Source organism: Homo sapiens, chromosome 9 (assembly GCF_000001405.40).
Source record: "Homo sapiens chromosome 9, GRCh38.p14 Primary Assembly".
NCBI lineage: Eukaryota > Metazoa > Chordata > Mammalia > Primates > Hominidae > Homo > Homo sapiens.
Genome location: NC_000009.12, coordinates 121741251 through 121756189, shown reverse-complemented (window position 1 = coordinate 121756189; position 14939 = coordinate 121741251). Strand labels below are relative to the sequence as shown.

Below are 14939 nucleotides of genomic sequence, written 5' to 3'. Positions count from 1 at the left end.
GCTCTAGGGTTAGGTAAAGTCTCTCCAAAGTCAGCAGCACAGAGCAGTGTCCTCTTAGAGCCCCCAGCCCCCACGGTGGGACAGAGGAAAAGCGTGAGGACAGGCTGGGCCTGCTAAGACCATCTCTGGTGCAGAAGCTGAGCCCTGCTTGTGTCCAGGGCTCAAACCCTGGGGTTGGTGAAAAACCTACTCCAGGCTTAGCCCACATGGACCTCCTACCCCCAACGCCCTATGCCCTTTGGCTCCTGGTTCCAATGGTCCAAGTGCTCAGTCCATCATTCTCTCCCTGCCTCGCCAAACCAAGACCCCTACCTTGGGCTATGCTGAGGCTTGGTCCCTGACCTTGAGGGGCTCGCAGCTTGGCAGAGCCACCAGACACTTCCCTGTAGGATGCATACCCTGTACACTCATTTCTGCGACTGCCCCGGGTCAGCGGGCTGAGGCCCACTCCATGGGTGCTCAAGAATCCAGAGGTGAGCAGGAAGAGCCCTGCTCAGAGGGACTCAGGCTGACAGTAGCCACCCTCCCACCCCAAGCTCCACATCTCCATGGCAACAGCCCTCTGAGCATAAGAGCCCTCCCCAACATGGAGTCCCATGCTAGATGCCGTAAGGAGTCAGAGCTGAGGGAATCCCAACCCTTAGATACCCCACAGAGGCCAGCCCAGGAGCCCCAGTCAACCGGCTCCCTCTGCCTCTCCACACCCAGCACGAAGCTGGCCTCTGAAAGCAGAGGGAATGGGCAGAGCCAGAGGAAAACTGTGAGACAAGTTCAAGACAGGGGGGAACCCTCCCCAACTCCCACAAGGACTCCCACCTGGGGCTTCCCGTTGTGGCCTAAGCCCATGGACAAGCCCAGCATGTGCCTCTGCTCCTCTGAGGCACTCTCCCTGGGAGGTCCAGTTCACAAAGGGGCACTGGCCTACCTGCCACGCCACACCGCCACACCACCACATCACACCGCCACACCGCTGTGTTGGAACAGGCCTCTTCTCCTGATAATCCCTCAAGGCCTTGCTCGAGCGGCCTGGCCTCCTCCCCATCACGGCAATGACCAGTGCCGTGGGTGGGCCTGCCCTCCCTGGGCTGAGATTCCACCTGAGCCGCCCACCTCCCAGGGTGGACTCCAGGCCTCCCTCCCACATGGGGCTTCATACCTCAGTGGAAGAGACGCCCTGCCTGATAGTAGGGAAGTCACACTGGCTGGGATTGGGCTGCTTTCTGGCCTAGCTTGGAAAATCTCTGCCAGGTAAGGATGCTGGGAGCCAGGGAGGGTGGGGTAGGGACCCAGGAAGTACAGAGCGGGGAGCTGGTGAGCTGAGGCCGCCTCCTGCCTGGGGCGCATGAATGAGCTGGCTGTGGAGAGGAGAGGCGAGGCATGCTTCAGCAGGCTGGGCCTGCCCAGGGAAACCCAAGGAGACCCTGGTCCTGCAACCCCAGGAGCCCAGCAGGCCCAGGCCAGACCCCAAAACAGCCAGATCCTGGAGTCTGTGGTTGCAGAGCCCTCCCCTTCCTTCCCCACCATGTCCCACAAGCATGCTCTGGCTGACCTGGAAAGGATCCTGGCAGAAGAGAGGGCTGTAGGGAAGCTCAAGGCCCTTAAGACACCTTGGACTGGCCCGGCCTACCTGGGCAGCCATGACCCTCCCCGCTTCCCTGGGAGCTTCTCCACGGGGTGGGATGTAAAGCAGAGGCTGCATCCATCCCTGCAGCCCAAGCTCTCTGGGAGGAAGAGGAATAGGGGCAGGGCAGGCCCAGGGAGGCCCCAAGTGGTTCCCGCAAGCTCTCCCAGGCTACTCCTTCCTGGATAGTACAGCAAGCGGGTGGGTGGTGGAGGCAGGGCCAGTGGACCCGTACTCTCTCACTCACGTTCCTATGCGTTTCCTTCCTGACCAGCCTGGAGTCTACAGGCCCTGAAACACAGTGTCCTCGGTCCCTCCCTCATCTGGGCCCAGAGGGAGCTGGTCTGCTGTGACCCTGCCAGGGTGTGCCCATGGTGGTAGCTGATAAGATGAGGGGGCTAAGGAAGGAAAAATGGTCATTTGGTCACTTCCTGAACCCAGCAGGACCAATTCAAGGCCCAAGAACCACCTCTCTGGGAAGCCAGCCCTGTCCTGTGCTTGCAGCAGTCCCTGGCCACTTCACAGCAGGGACTGCTTGCTCCATCAGTCACCCAAGGCAGGCTTCTCCCCTACCCTGGCTTCATCCCATGCTGGCATTGTTGGGCCACTTCCTTTTTCACCTCCAGCCTCTGCCTTGCCAGCCTAGGGAAGCAGCGCATTAGAGGCAGGGCAGAAGATGGGTACCAAAGACTGCCCAGGCTCCAAAGGGGCAGGGATAGGCTCAGCTTCCCTACCCGGGACGCTCAGGTGAAAGGAGGGAAGCAGGCACTGGTCTCTACCTCACTCCCATTCCACTCCCAGGAAGGGATGCCTGTAGGCACCCACCTCTAGTCAGCACAAGGTGAGCGCCCAGCTGGTCACTTGCACATCCCTTTTTTCATATTTCAACAGCACACAGCCCTGCCAGGAGTATTCATCTACCCATTTTACAGAAAGGTATGACAGGCTCAGGGAGGAGCAGTTACTTGAGCCGCCCAAGGCCCCCTGCTGGGATGGGAACCAGGTCAGTCCAGGAGCCATGCCCACAGCTACCCTATGTGGTGTGGTATCTGGGGGCTGATGCCCCTGTATTCAGGGCTTCTGCCGTCCCCCAGCCCTGGGTCAAGTCCCTCTCTGCTGCCCAAGGCTGGGGTGGAAGAGAAGGTGGCCCAATTGCATGGCCCACGGCATCCTCCCGACCCTGTGCCTAGCTCAGTCTCATGACAGCTTTCCCCTCTGACCTCTTGTGGTCCTTGGAGACTAGAGCTTTGGTCCCCTAGGCGAGGTGGCACCAAGGAGGGCAAAAGGCCTTCACATGGGGATTCCACCCCTGCAAATCACTTCCACGGCCCAGGTCTGAGCTACTTCTTACAACAACCCTGCCAGGATGTGGCACCTCTACTACCTACAGAAGCAGGTCTCAAACCAGGGCGTGGACTCCACACTGCCTGCCTCCCACCAGGGTGGAGCTGGCGTCCCCAGGCCGGGCTTACCTTGGGCCATGCGTCACATGAACCACCACACAAGTCACCTCACAGAATCTCCACGAGCCCAAGAGGCAGATGCTGACCTCACCCCGCTTTACAGGGGAGAAACTGAGGCCTGCCAGGGAGGGCAAGAGATGTGCCCCAGCATCCCATCTTTGATCTAGTGTTGCTGCGACACCCAAACCTCTTGGGTCCATTTCCTCATCTGAAAAAGGAGGAAGGTGGCTTGCTTCACCCAGAAAACACTGGCAGCCGGCACATGCTGAAAGTGCTGTGAAGACAGCGCCTTCACGGGGAGGTATTTCCCAGCCCTTTGAGTTGTGGGGGTGAAGGGATCCCCTCTTGAGACCACACGGGATTCAATGCCAGCCCCAGAACTTGGCACTCTGAGCCACTGGCTGGCATCTACCTCCCTGCTCCACCTGACCAGGCCCACTCTCGCAGCGGCCTGCCTGCTGGGCCCCTCCATCCCAGGAAGCAGGAGTCTCAGGCAGGGCCCCAGGCACATGCTGTCCTTCCCCTTCCTACCCAACCTTCAGCACCCAGCTTCAGTGCCCCTTCTTCCCTGAAGCCTTCCTGGGCTCCCTGGGCAGACAGCCATATCCAGGCTGTGCTGGGAAGGTCTGTCACAGAACTGGCTCCTTGTCAGGCAGGGGGCTCCTTGTGGGTAAAGTTGGGTCTGGCTGGCTCCAAGGTCCAGAGCCTTAGAGTTCCTGGACCAAAACCCCAACACACCAGCAGCCAAGGTCAGCTAAGCTCAGAGGGAACGGGAGGTCAGTGGGGATAGGGATAGCCCTCCCTCAGCCTGCAAACCCTGGTGACGTGGTTGTTCCCTTGGAGGAGGGACGAAGAAGGCCTGAGGGTGGGTCGTCAGGGCAGCTGCCTGTTCAAGGCCAAGTCCCAAGAGCAGCATTCCAATGTTCATTCCAGAGTCTCCGGGAAATGCCCCTGCCCTTGCTCTGTCCAAGTATGGGCCGCTTCCCCCATCCCTCTCAAGGTTAGGAGGCTCATCCTACCCTCTGTGGCTGCACACTGCTCCCCACGGCCCCAGCCGAGACCCTTCTAAACATGGCAGATCACTAGCCCCATGACAGCGCTCCAGGGACTAGAGACCCTTTACCTGTCCTCCATGGCATGGAATCCTTACTGCTCCCAGGAAGGAGGTGGCACCATGACATCCAGGTCACACACGGGACAGCCAAGGCCATGGCTAGGGTGACCTGCCCTGGACTCCGCTGCTACAGAGGAGCTTGGCCAGGGCATGGGAGGGCAGAGGGGAATGGGAGTTCCACTGGCCTTCTCCTGTCTAGACCAAAGCAGCACCCTCCACTGAACAAGCCACTCCGCCTGGCATGGCCTCACTCCTGTCCCTCCTCTCTCGCCTCATGGCCTGTAAGATAATCAAGTCCCAGATGCCTCAAGCTGGTGTCCGAGCCCTCCTGAAAGGCCCCTCGCACAAGTGACCTGGACTCTCCTCCCCAGCTACTTCCTGACAAAGCTGCAAACTCTTATCCTCCAGGGGTCCATGTCCAAGCAGTCTCCTGAGCCTGTCCATTCTGCCTCTCCCTCCACTTCTTTGCCAAACAAAGTCCTTCCTCAGTTTTCAAGGGCCAGCCCAATGTCACCACCACAAAGTGGTCCCTGGTCTCTCCAGACAGACAGCTCACACTACGCTACCTAAGCCCGGCTCAGGGCCACAATCTCCCACCTGTTCCACTTAATTCTCGTGACAATCCTGTCAGGACTAAAAAGGTGCACCCAGAAAGTTGAGGTGACCTGCCCAAGATCACATGCATAGCAAGTGGCCGAGTCAGATGTGAACCCAGTTCAGCGGAGTTCAAGACTAACTGCACCAGCCTTGGCTTGGCCTTTCCATCGTCCAGGGGTGGCCCACAGCAGCTGGGCAGCAGGGAAAGGTCCATAGCAGCCGGGCAGGGGGAAAGGTCCACAGCAGCCGGGCAGCAGGGAAAGGTCCACAGCAGCCGGGCAGGGGGAAAGGTCCACAGCAGCCGGGCAGCAGGGAAAGGTCCACAGCCAGCTAACCCACTAGCTGTGACCCACTCACTCCAGGTGGGGAAGGAAGGACCGGGGGATACAGGGATGGGGCAGCCCCTGCCCAGGGCCCAGGAAACGTGGGCACAAGGCACGGGGAGCTGCTATGAGAGACAGCGCCAGGGCCCAACAGCAGCTCATTGTGAGGGCTGGTGGCAGAACAATGGGGACACTGTCCTGGCTCCTGGGGCCTAGCCTTATCTGATAGCGTTCCAGCCAACCCACAAGCTGTTTTTCAACTCTGATCCTTTTTTCTCTTAAAAGGTCGGTGACACAAAAGCTCAGCAAACTCATTATTCCAAGGAGGGAAAGGACCCCAAACCGAAACTTACAGTAATTAAAAATCCCTACTTGACACAGCAAGGGTGTTCCCAACTATTGGGTGGGGGGAATTGAGAGTGGGATTGTTTGGTCGGAAAATAAGGGGCTCAGGGTCACCCTCCAAATCTCGAAAGCTCAGAGGGAGCTGCCCTGTGTGGCCCCAAAGGGCAAGGCTGGGACCAGGAGAGGCCACTTCCAGCTCAGTCACAGCTGTCCTTGAATGGGCCAGGCTCGTCTGGTTTTAGAGAGAGTGGGCTCCCTGTCTCTGAAAGTGTGCAAGCAGGAGCCGGGGGGCCCCTTTAAGACATGCTGCATGGCTAGGGCTGCCAGGGTAATGGGCTGGGCAGTACACAAAGGCAGGCAGTGCAGTGGGCCCTGGGATTAAACACACACACACACGCGCGCGCGCACACAAGTGAATGCTACAGAAATGCACCTGCAGCTGCGAGCGGGCAGGAGGACAGAGGGCCTAGTGTCAAGGGTGCCTGGCTGCAGAGCAAACCGAGTCTCTATTCCTTATGAAATATACAACCTTGGATACTTTAAGTCATTCGACTCTCTAGGACTCAGTTTCCCCATCCGTAGTGAGGATAACGACACACCTTCCTCATGGGTTGCTCTAAGGATCAAATGAGACCATGCAGGCGGGAGGCTCAGGAGGGCAGGGGTGTCAGTGACTCCCATCCATTGCTCATAACTGTTCATGCCTCTTTGGTCTGTTCCATTCGCCCACCTCATTGCCAGCCACGATGTCAGGAGCTGGAGACACAGCTATGAACAACACTGGTGAACGATGCACACGCTGCTATCAAGGCTGACATTTCTGGGATAGGTCACACTTTTGACAATTTGGAGTGACAAGATATGGACTTCCCAGGCTGTTTCCTGTTCCTGTCCCGTGACGACTCAAACGCTTTACGTTCTCCATGCCTCAGTTTTCCCCATCTGCAAAATGGGGATCAATCATATCTGCCCAAATGCTCTGGGATGCCTCAAATTTCTTTAAAAAGCCCTTCATTTCCTGAGGCGAAATGAAAGGAGAAGAAGGTGTGCCTAGCAGTGGGCAGTAGACCCCCGTGAGGAGGCCCCTTTAGCCCCTCTGCCTGGGACTCCCAAGCACAGCCATCTCCAGCCCCAGTCTCCAGCCCACCAGCCTGTGTGGTCCCAAGCCACTGTCCACTACCCCAACCAGGTCTGGAAGGAAGAGAAATCCTGGACAAGGTTTGTCTCCACAGAGTTGGTGCCCACCCAAAGGCTGGCAGGACCTGATGGTTCTGCAGTCAGGACTTCAGCAGACTCTCTAGGCCTCATCAGGTCAGAACATGCCAATCATGCTTCTGCCTGTCATAGCCAGGCAGGTCCAGAGGCTGTGCTAGAAGCGTCTGCCCACACTGGAAAAAAAGAGAGTCTGGACATGGTCACAATGAATGCACTGACCTGCTGGGAATCAAACGGCAGGACATAAACAGGGCAGCGCCCTGCCTAGTATGTCCAGCAGAGCTCTCTCCCCAAGCCCAGCCTTGCCCCGCTGGCCTGGGAACCGGCTGCTCAGAAGGCCAGTGCTCACTCCTGGCCCAGCTGGGATCCCAGGGGAGAGGAGAGGAATGCAGCCGCCTGGTGGCTCCCAGGGCCCTGGGGAGACAGAGCCTGTCCTAAAAAGGCAGAAAGGTTGGCTGCCCTGCCTGGGAAGTCTTCCAGGGATGACAGGGCCCAGAGGCGTGGTCCCTCTCAACCCAGGGTTCCCTCAGGCCAAGGTAAGGGGTAGGTCCTAGCAGTCACCAAGACCCAGTTGTGACGCCCCCATACACACAGAACGCCCTGGGCTGTGAGACAGGGAGACACGTGGCCTTCTGCCCTCACCCCTGGGAGCCTGTGCTTCCCCCCACATCACAGGGCTGAGCTGGCAGAGGAGGGTCCACACCCTGCAACCAAAACAGGAGGATGGGACAGCTCATGCTTGCTGTGAGGCCTGGTGTCCCGTGGTGCCCAATATAGGCTGACTAAATGAATGACACTGTGGCAGCCTGGACCTAACAGCCACTTACTAAGCACCTACCATGTGCCAGTTGCAGGTGTTCTCACCAAAGTACAAACATCATCTCATGGCCTTCTCCCAACAACTCTGCACAAAAGGCAGCACTGCCCCAGAAGAAAGGGAGAGTGGGTATTCAAGCTCAGGTCCCACAAGCCCTGGCTCATGGGGCAATACATGAGCCAGTTAATCCAAAAGGCTCAATGGAAGCTTTAGGACGTTCTCTAAAGAGGAAACTGAGGCTTAGAGACAGGGAGTGGCTTGGCTAGGTCACATGGTCCAGAAGTGAAAGCTGGGGTTCTAACGGCCTGGTCACCCTCTGTGGGACACTCTTGGCACCTACCTCACAGTGAGTCAGGCCTGGAGGCCAGGCATCCAATCAGCCCAGCACCCCAGCAACGGCCCGTTCCTCTCCCTGAAGGAGTCTTTGGTCTCTATCCCAGCTGTATCTAAGGTCTATCACAGACCCTGAACGAGTTTCCTCCCCCTTCTAGGTGCCATTTCCTCACACGCTGAGCTACTTCAGAGAAAGCCACAAAAACCCTACGTCAACTCCCTAGAACATAAGGGACCATAAACTATCATAACTGCTACCAACACCACTACCATCACCTGTAATAATGTAATAGCAACATCTCACTGCTGCCTGGGGTGACTTGGGCCAAAGCTCCGGAGAGACCAGGGATTCGAGAGGGCGCTGGTACTGGCTCCTGAATGAGAGGCAGCCTTCAACATCCTCTCCCCGTATAAACTGTGCAAGCCTAATGGAGTTTTCAAAAAACATTCAGGAACACATTTACCTTTCCACATCTTATTTCTTTCTTTCTTTTTTTTTTTTTTGCGGGGGAGGAGGGGTGCAGAGAGAGAGAGAAGAAACAAAAAACTTTCCATCTAATCCCCCAAGTCATCCTGCAGCCTGAATAATTTCGGGTTTTTAATCAATAGCTGTCAGACTTGTCAAATTACTTTGGGGACCGCAAAGCAGTTTTTAAACATTCATAAACCTCAGCAGAACAGCGAAGTGCCCTGAATTTTAAAAGAAGAGCATCTAGGCCGGGCGCGGTGGCTCACGCCTGTAATCCCAGCACTTTGGGAGGCCGAGGCAGGTGGATCATGAGGTCAGGAGATCGAGACCATCCTGGCTAACACGGTGAAACCCCATCTCTACCAAAAATACAAAAAATTAGCTGGGCGTGATGGCGGGCGCCTGTAGTCCCAGCTACTCGGGAGGCTGAGGCAGGAGAATGGTGTGAACCTGAGAGGTGGAGCTTGCAGTGAGCCAAGATAGTGCCACTGCACTCCAGCCTGGGCGACAGAGCGAGACTCTGTCTCAGGGGAAAAAAAAAAAAAAAAAGCATCTAAGGAACACTCATTGACGAGGGTGAGTGGTGGGCAAATCAGAAGTGAGCTGTGGGCTAGCTGCCCCTGCCCCTCTTGCTTCTGAGCAGGGACAACCCTGCAGCCCTCCCTGGCCTGTAGGAAAAACTATCAGGCTTAGCCTGGCTGCTCAGAAAGTTTAGGGAGAGTGACAGTCCCCCTACCCCCAGCCCCAGGAAAAGAGCCCAACCTCCCTGCACAGCACCTGGGGCTCCAACCCCAGCCACAACTGCAGCAACTCTGAAGCTCCCAAGCTCTAGAGCCCACCACAAACATGCTAGCCCACTGCCCTCCCCCATCTCTCCACTCAGCACCACTCCTGAGAATGTTTCAAGGCCCTGACCCATGCGTTCCCTCTCCTTGAGCTCAGTCTGTGCCTGGCTCCTCCTCACATGTGAACACACCCATGCATCATGGCCTGAGTGGGACTGGTTTCTAACTGGTCCCTGCACCCCACCCGGGACCATAAATACCTCCAACAGCCACCTCAGGGCCCTGGGGATGCGAGACCCAAGTGGGAAATGATAATGAAACAAAAGAATAAATTAGCTGAAAAGCGAGTATTTCCATTCTCCAGGAAGTGCTTCCCCTCTGGCTTATCTAATTCCTCCCAGCTCTCCACATCCAGGAAGCCCTCCTTAGCTCATGCTGGGCCCCCCCTAGAATGCGGGGGCAGAGGCAGCATCTTCTTCCATCTCATCTCCTCCACCCAAGACCTGGGCGCCATGCCACGTTACTTCCTGGGACCAGGTGGGCCATTCATGTTGGGGTGATCTAGGGATGGCCTCCTTCCCTCATCCTTGAGGGCCAGGTTTCCTGCCTCAACCAAGGACCAGCCATTTGTCCGCAGAGCCCCAGCTCCTGGCACTATGCTGGTTGAAGGTGGTAAGCAGGCATGGTTCCTTAAAAACACACACACAAAACTCTGTGACTTTGGTCAAATTAATTAACCTGTGTGCCTCAGTTTTCTCATCTGGAAAACAGGGACACCACCACCTTTGGCTGTAGGGCTCAACTGACCTGCAGCGAGCTCTCCATACACAGCCTCAGTAACCAGCCCTGGCTGCCCCCATTACCATCCAGGCTGGGCTGAGACTGCCTTCCCGGGGCATTCTGTCCCTTCCCGCACGCCCTTCCTGCCAGCACTTCTCTGGATGCTCCTGGCTTCTTCCTGGGCCCAGGACATTTCCAAGATCTGTCTCTCACTCTGCCCAGCAGATCCTTCCTGACTCTCCCCCCACAGCTGAGCTCTCAAAAAGCCCCTCTGCCAACTGACCCCAGACCACCTCACCTGCTCTACCCCCTTACCTCAAGAGCAGGCTCCAGAGTACAGGCCGTTTTAAGCAGGAATCTGAAAGACCCCCATTTAAGAAGAGATGGACAAATCTACGAACAAATGCTGGCACCCTAGACTCCAGCCCCAGTGGTCACTCCAGCTCAGCTATCTCTTCAATTCCAGCCACCATTTGGGACAGAGGCTCCCTCCTTGTTGGCAGCTTGAGCTCAGAGAGACAGAAGAGGTGAAGATGTGAAGGGAAGGAGCACTGGGCCAAAGGAGTGTGGACCTCGGATGGGCCTCTCCTGCACCTCAGCATCCTACCCCGTCAAGTGGGTTGCCCTTGCCTCCTGGCACAATTTGCTGAAGATGTATCATGCTAAGGCACCCCACCCCCCACCCCCGCCCCGCCCCAATCCTGGGCAGAGTTGATCCAGCCACCAGCACAGCCACTGAGCGCCTCCACTATGTCTGCAGGAGCATGTGGGGCTATGGGCCTAGGGATGTCAGCTGCCCATTCCTCCCAAAGCCTGAGGTCTGGAAGTCTGCGTGGGGCACCAGAGCAGCTGCTTCTCAGGCTGTAACTAGCAGGAGACAACCAGGAGTGTTCAGCAGCAGCAAGACAGCAGGAAAGTGGCTCTCAGTAAGCCACAGGGTTCCAGGCCACTGGCACGGGCAGAAACTCAGACACCATGTCAAAGAAAACCAGGAGTGTGGCTGCTGAGTTCCTCCTGCTGCCAGTGACCATGCACCAAAGCCACCTGTGGCTCTCAAGTACCTGCTCACCCACCACACCACAGTGAGCCCACATACCTGGGAAGGGCACGTAGGGCTGTCTCTGCACCTCTGACCCTCACACAGCTAACTGCAGCAAAGAATGAGGCTCTGACACCTCCAGGGGCTTCCCAAGGCCAGTGTGTCAGACTTCACCGTCTGCCCTTTTCCCCCACATTCCACACTGGCTGACTCCAGGCTAAGCTAGCCCTGTCATCTGCCACCTGGCCCACAGGATTCCAACTGAGAAAGCAACATACTTAAAATCCAGCTTCCCAAGCTACGTTTCCAGGTCCCAACCCAGCCATGCCAGCCCTGCTTGGCCCTATCTGGCTCATCATGCTAAACTGCACGCCTCTGCTCAAGGGGTTGCACTCCAGCAGCCTATCCGTCTACGCCTGGCTCAAAGGCCACCACCTCCACAAAGCCTCCCCCAGAACTGACAACTCCCTCCAGGGTTTGCGCCTATGCACACGCCCTCTGCTCTGAAGCAGAGGCTCAGAGAGGTCAAACAGCTTGCCTGAGGTCACGATTCACAGGCACAAGGGTGGAACAGGACACCTGGCACTTCGGCTCTAACTTCAAACTCTCTTCACTGCCCGTCAATGCCTCAGGTTTTCACCAAACCTACAAAAATCCTATGACCAAATGCACCAACTTTTAAGTAACTACAGGAAGCCTGGGTCACCAGAAATGTACTGAGCCCTGCCTTTGTCACCTCCTGGGTGGCTGTCTGTAAAACAGTGAGGACACCTACTGGCAGGCAGTCTCATCCGCCCCCAGCCGTGGCAATGAAGGCGGTTAGGACCAACCTGCACTGAGACTTGGCTGTAACAAGCCCAATCCTTCCTCTGACTTTTTTTCAGAAATGGGTACTTGCCCAGTAAAGACGCTACCACACCAAAGTGATCTGGCTTCTGACAACTGTTTCAAATATTCAAGCAGAGCCAAAACACGCTCCTGGCCCAGACACAGTCTTCCCAGTCTCCCACCCGCCTCCACCCCACCCAGTGGGCCTGGGCCCCATGGACTAGGGAGTGGAAGCAGGAAGGGAGAAGAAAAAACAAAGTTCTGCTGAGGAGCTGGGGCAGAGATACCATGGCCCCCAAACCCCAGTGCAGCCCCACCCAGCCAGCCAAAGGTTCGGCCACTCAGAGCAAAGGCCAAGCTCCTCAGCTCAGAAAACTTGTCAGCAGTCCCTGGCATTTCCCAGTTCTCAACGGAGCACACCACAGGGGACACCGCGCCTGGGGGACAGAGCAACTCACACTGGGCTTCCTCTTATTTTAAAAACTAAAAACAGCAACAGTGCTCTTCTTGGTGTCCCGCTTTTTCACAGGTCCCTCCTAACCGTTTCTACATTCTGGGCCGGCAGTGGATGTCTGCGTAGAGGGGCAGGGTGCTCCGGAGTCCCTCCTGGGACCAGCTCCTGTGACAGTCACTCACTGAGGGTGTCTGCTGCCGCCCAGCTCATTCAGGTCTCCCTGGGCTCTGGGGCTGCCTCCCTCCTGGCTTTCCCAGCCTCTCTTATTCTAAGCTCCGCTCAGGCCACTCACCATCCCTCAGCATAGCCACCAGGCTCGGGAAGCCGAGTGGCCGGGCGAGCCTTCCTGCTGTCCGCTGCTCCTGGCTGGCCCCGGCCAGCCTAGCCCCGCCCTGATCCCAGACATGCCACTCCAGCCCTGTCCGCTGGGACTAATCATGGCTAGTTCAACAAAGGCTATGTTCCAACTCTCTGTAATGTGCTTTTAAAGGGCCAGTGTCCTACTTGGGCCTGCTGGGGTCTTAAAGGTACAGGTCCCTTTTTCCTATACAGGAAACAGGAAAGAAAAAAAAAACAAAAAACGAAACTCCAAAATTCATGATCAGGTTAGAGGCCCTCGGCTTCTGAGGAAGATTTTAGACACAATGAACAATAGTAAAAATTCAAAGTCCACGAAGGTCCCAAAGAGCTCAAAAACAAAACAAGGAAGCTAAATCTCAGGAATAAGAGATGAGATAGCAGCCCTCTTTGGGCACTATGTGCTGGGCACAGCACTGGGTACTTTGTGGCCCAGTCTCATTTGTTCCTCACCACTCCACAGACAGGCATTACCATTGCCCCATCTTTCAGATGAGGAAGCTGAGGGTGCAAGGGCTCCCCAGCTCGCCAGGACTTCATGCAAGTCAGCTGCAAAGCTGGGCCACACCCCGTGAGGTCCATCCCAGCCAGAGTATTCCTCCCACCTGCTCCCTCCACGAGGCCCTGACTGCTCCATCCCACCTGGACCACAGGCCCCAACTGCTCCACATCCTCCAGTGTCTCTTCTTCATGATGAAGAAAGAAGGGGGCAAGATGAGGAGTCTCACCTGTCACAGGTGCCCCACCACCAGGCTTTCAGTTTGAGCCTCAGAACCCTGTGGGGTCGGGTCTATCTTTTCCTTCATCTTCCAGATGAGAAGACTGGAAATCATGGCTTCTGACACAACACGAAAGAAGAGGAACACTAGGGGAAGGTGAAAGCAGAGAAAAGCGGGCAGTCAGAGGGAGGATGCGGGGAAGAAAAGGCAGGTGCAGGGAACCAAGGCAGATGGGGGCAACCGTCCTTCCAAGCCCAGGACTCAGGCAAGCTGGCCGAGGCCCTTCCACTGTCCACAAGAGTGGAGCTTCTCCTGGGGCAAGGGTGGGCAGGGCCTGCCTAGTTACTGGAATAGGAGTGGGATGGGGAGAGGAAGGGAAGAGAGACTGGACTGTCTGCGTCTCAGCACCTGGTCTACGGCACCCTCAGAGAAGCGTGGGCCATTCTGGCACCTGGAGTGGCTGGGCCCACAGTAGGTGCTGTGTGGCTATCTTCTTTTTTTGAGATGGAGTTTCACACTTGTTGCCCAGGCTGGAGTGCAACGGCGCAATCTCAGCTCACTACAACCTCTGCCTCCCGGGTTCAAGTGATTGTCTTGCCTCAGCCTCCCGAGTAGCTAGGATTACAGGCATGGGCCACCACACCTGGCTAATTTTGTATTTTTTTAGTAGAGACGGGGTTTCACCATGTTGGTCAGGCTGGTTTCAAATTCCTGACCTCAGGTGATCCACCCACCTTGGCCTCCCAAAGTGCTGGGATTATAGGCATGAGCCACCGTGCCCTGCCCAGTGTGGCTATCTTTGGTCAGAAAAGCCAAGGCCAGGAGGCGTCTTCAGGTCCAACTCCACAGGGGCTGAGTCATTCAAGGATTTAGCACCCTCACTCTGTTTCTGTGATGCCTGGAAGCCAAATAAGTTTCAGAATGTGTAGCCTGATGGTAAAGAAAATGAGCTCTGAAGCCAGGCTATGTTCAAACCCGGACTCTGCCACTTGTAACCTGTGTGGTCTTGGACAGGTTAAGTCACCTCCCTAGGCCTCTCTGTTTCCTCCTCAAAAATGGACATAATATTATTTACCTCATAGGATTGCCGAGAGGATACAGAACAAAGCCTTGCTGAGAGTGAGCGCGTAACAAAAGCCTGCTTTCAGCTGGGGTGAAGGAAGCTGCCCCAGGATAGCTGGAGGCACAAACAGGAAACTAGCCTCTTGGGTAGTGACTGTGGCCAAGTCATTTCTTTCTCTCAGCCTGTTTCTTTCTATAAAAGGACCCTCAGTGATTTCCAGGCAGGATCACCCCTCTGCCACCTTCCAGATGCCTGCTCCGTCCCATAAGGAGACAAGGACAGAAGGTGAGAAACACTGAGAAAGGCTGGGCTGTGGCCCAAATCCTTTGAGGCCTGAAAACAACCTGTCTCGGCTACCCAAGCCCAGACTAAGCAAGTCTGCTGGGTGAGTAGGAGGGGCAGAGCAGGAGGGAAGCGAGAGCCTAAAGCCACACAGGCTGTCAGGAGGCAGCATAAGTGGCTTTGCCTCTCCGGGAGGGGCCCTGCCTCCAGACCTCTCTGGGTTTGTCTTCCATGCTCACGTGTGGTCATGGCATGTGATCCGGCTGAGCTCACCTTACCTATGGGGAGTTCTGCATCAGCCATAGGGCCACCCTACACGCCTGTTGCAGAAACAG

The 14939-nt window shown here is 56.4% G+C and overlaps 1 protein-coding gene across 3 annotated transcripts in view, besides 5 other annotated features; it reads right to left on the bottom strand.

Moving 5' to 3' along the window:
* Window positions 1-14939, bottom strand: part of DAB2IP (DAB2 interacting protein) — a 218457-nt gene that overhangs the window by 29341 nt on the left and 174177 nt on the right. The window contains exon 1 of one of the 3 annotated variants that reach the window (NM_138709.2): window positions 13269-13405. The exons of the other annotated variants lie outside the window; for them this stretch is intronic. The gene's annotated coding sequence lies outside the window, so the exon portion shown is untranslated. Of the gene's footprint in view, window positions 1-13268; window positions 13406-14939 lie in introns of those variants that run through there. 3 annotated transcript variants of the gene reach the window in all.
* Window positions 516-1099: an enhancer, noted in NCBI's record as "H3K4me1 hESC enhancer chr9:124517370-124517953 (GRCh37/hg19 assembly coordinates)". NCBI's record gives its function as "activates a minimal SCP1, AML or CMV promoter by ChIP-STARR-seq in naive H9 embryonic stem cells {active_cell/tissue: H9 hESC(naive)}" and the evidence as "EXISTENCE:reporter gene assay evidence [ECO:0000049][PMID:30033119]".
* Window positions 1222-1837: an enhancer, noted in NCBI's record as "H3K27ac-H3K4me1 hESC enhancer chr9:124516632-124517247 (GRCh37/hg19 assembly coordinates)". NCBI's record gives its function as "activates a minimal SCP1, AML or CMV promoter by ChIP-STARR-seq in primed H9 embryonic stem cells {active_cell/tissue: H9 hESC(primed)}" and the evidence as "EXISTENCE:reporter gene assay evidence [ECO:0000049][PMID:30033119]".
* Window positions 3256-3756: an enhancer, noted in NCBI's record as "H3K27ac hESC enhancer chr9:124514713-124515213 (GRCh37/hg19 assembly coordinates)". NCBI's record gives its function as "activates a minimal SCP1, AML or CMV promoter by ChIP-STARR-seq in primed H9 embryonic stem cells {active_cell/tissue: H9 hESC(primed)}" and the evidence as "EXISTENCE:reporter gene assay evidence [ECO:0000049][PMID:30033119]".
* Window positions 7155-7678: an enhancer, noted in NCBI's record as "H3K27ac-H3K4me1 hESC enhancer chr9:124510791-124511314 (GRCh37/hg19 assembly coordinates)". NCBI's record gives its function as "activates a minimal SCP1, AML or CMV promoter by ChIP-STARR-seq in naive H9 embryonic stem cells {active_cell/tissue: H9 hESC(naive)}" and the evidence as "EXISTENCE:reporter gene assay evidence [ECO:0000049][PMID:30033119]".
* Window positions 12829-13528: an enhancer, noted in NCBI's record as "H3K27ac-H3K4me1 hESC enhancer chr9:124504941-124505640 (GRCh37/hg19 assembly coordinates)". NCBI's record gives its function as "activates a minimal SCP1, AML or CMV promoter by ChIP-STARR-seq in naive H9 embryonic stem cells {active_cell/tissue: H9 hESC(naive)}" and the evidence as "EXISTENCE:reporter gene assay evidence [ECO:0000049][PMID:30033119]".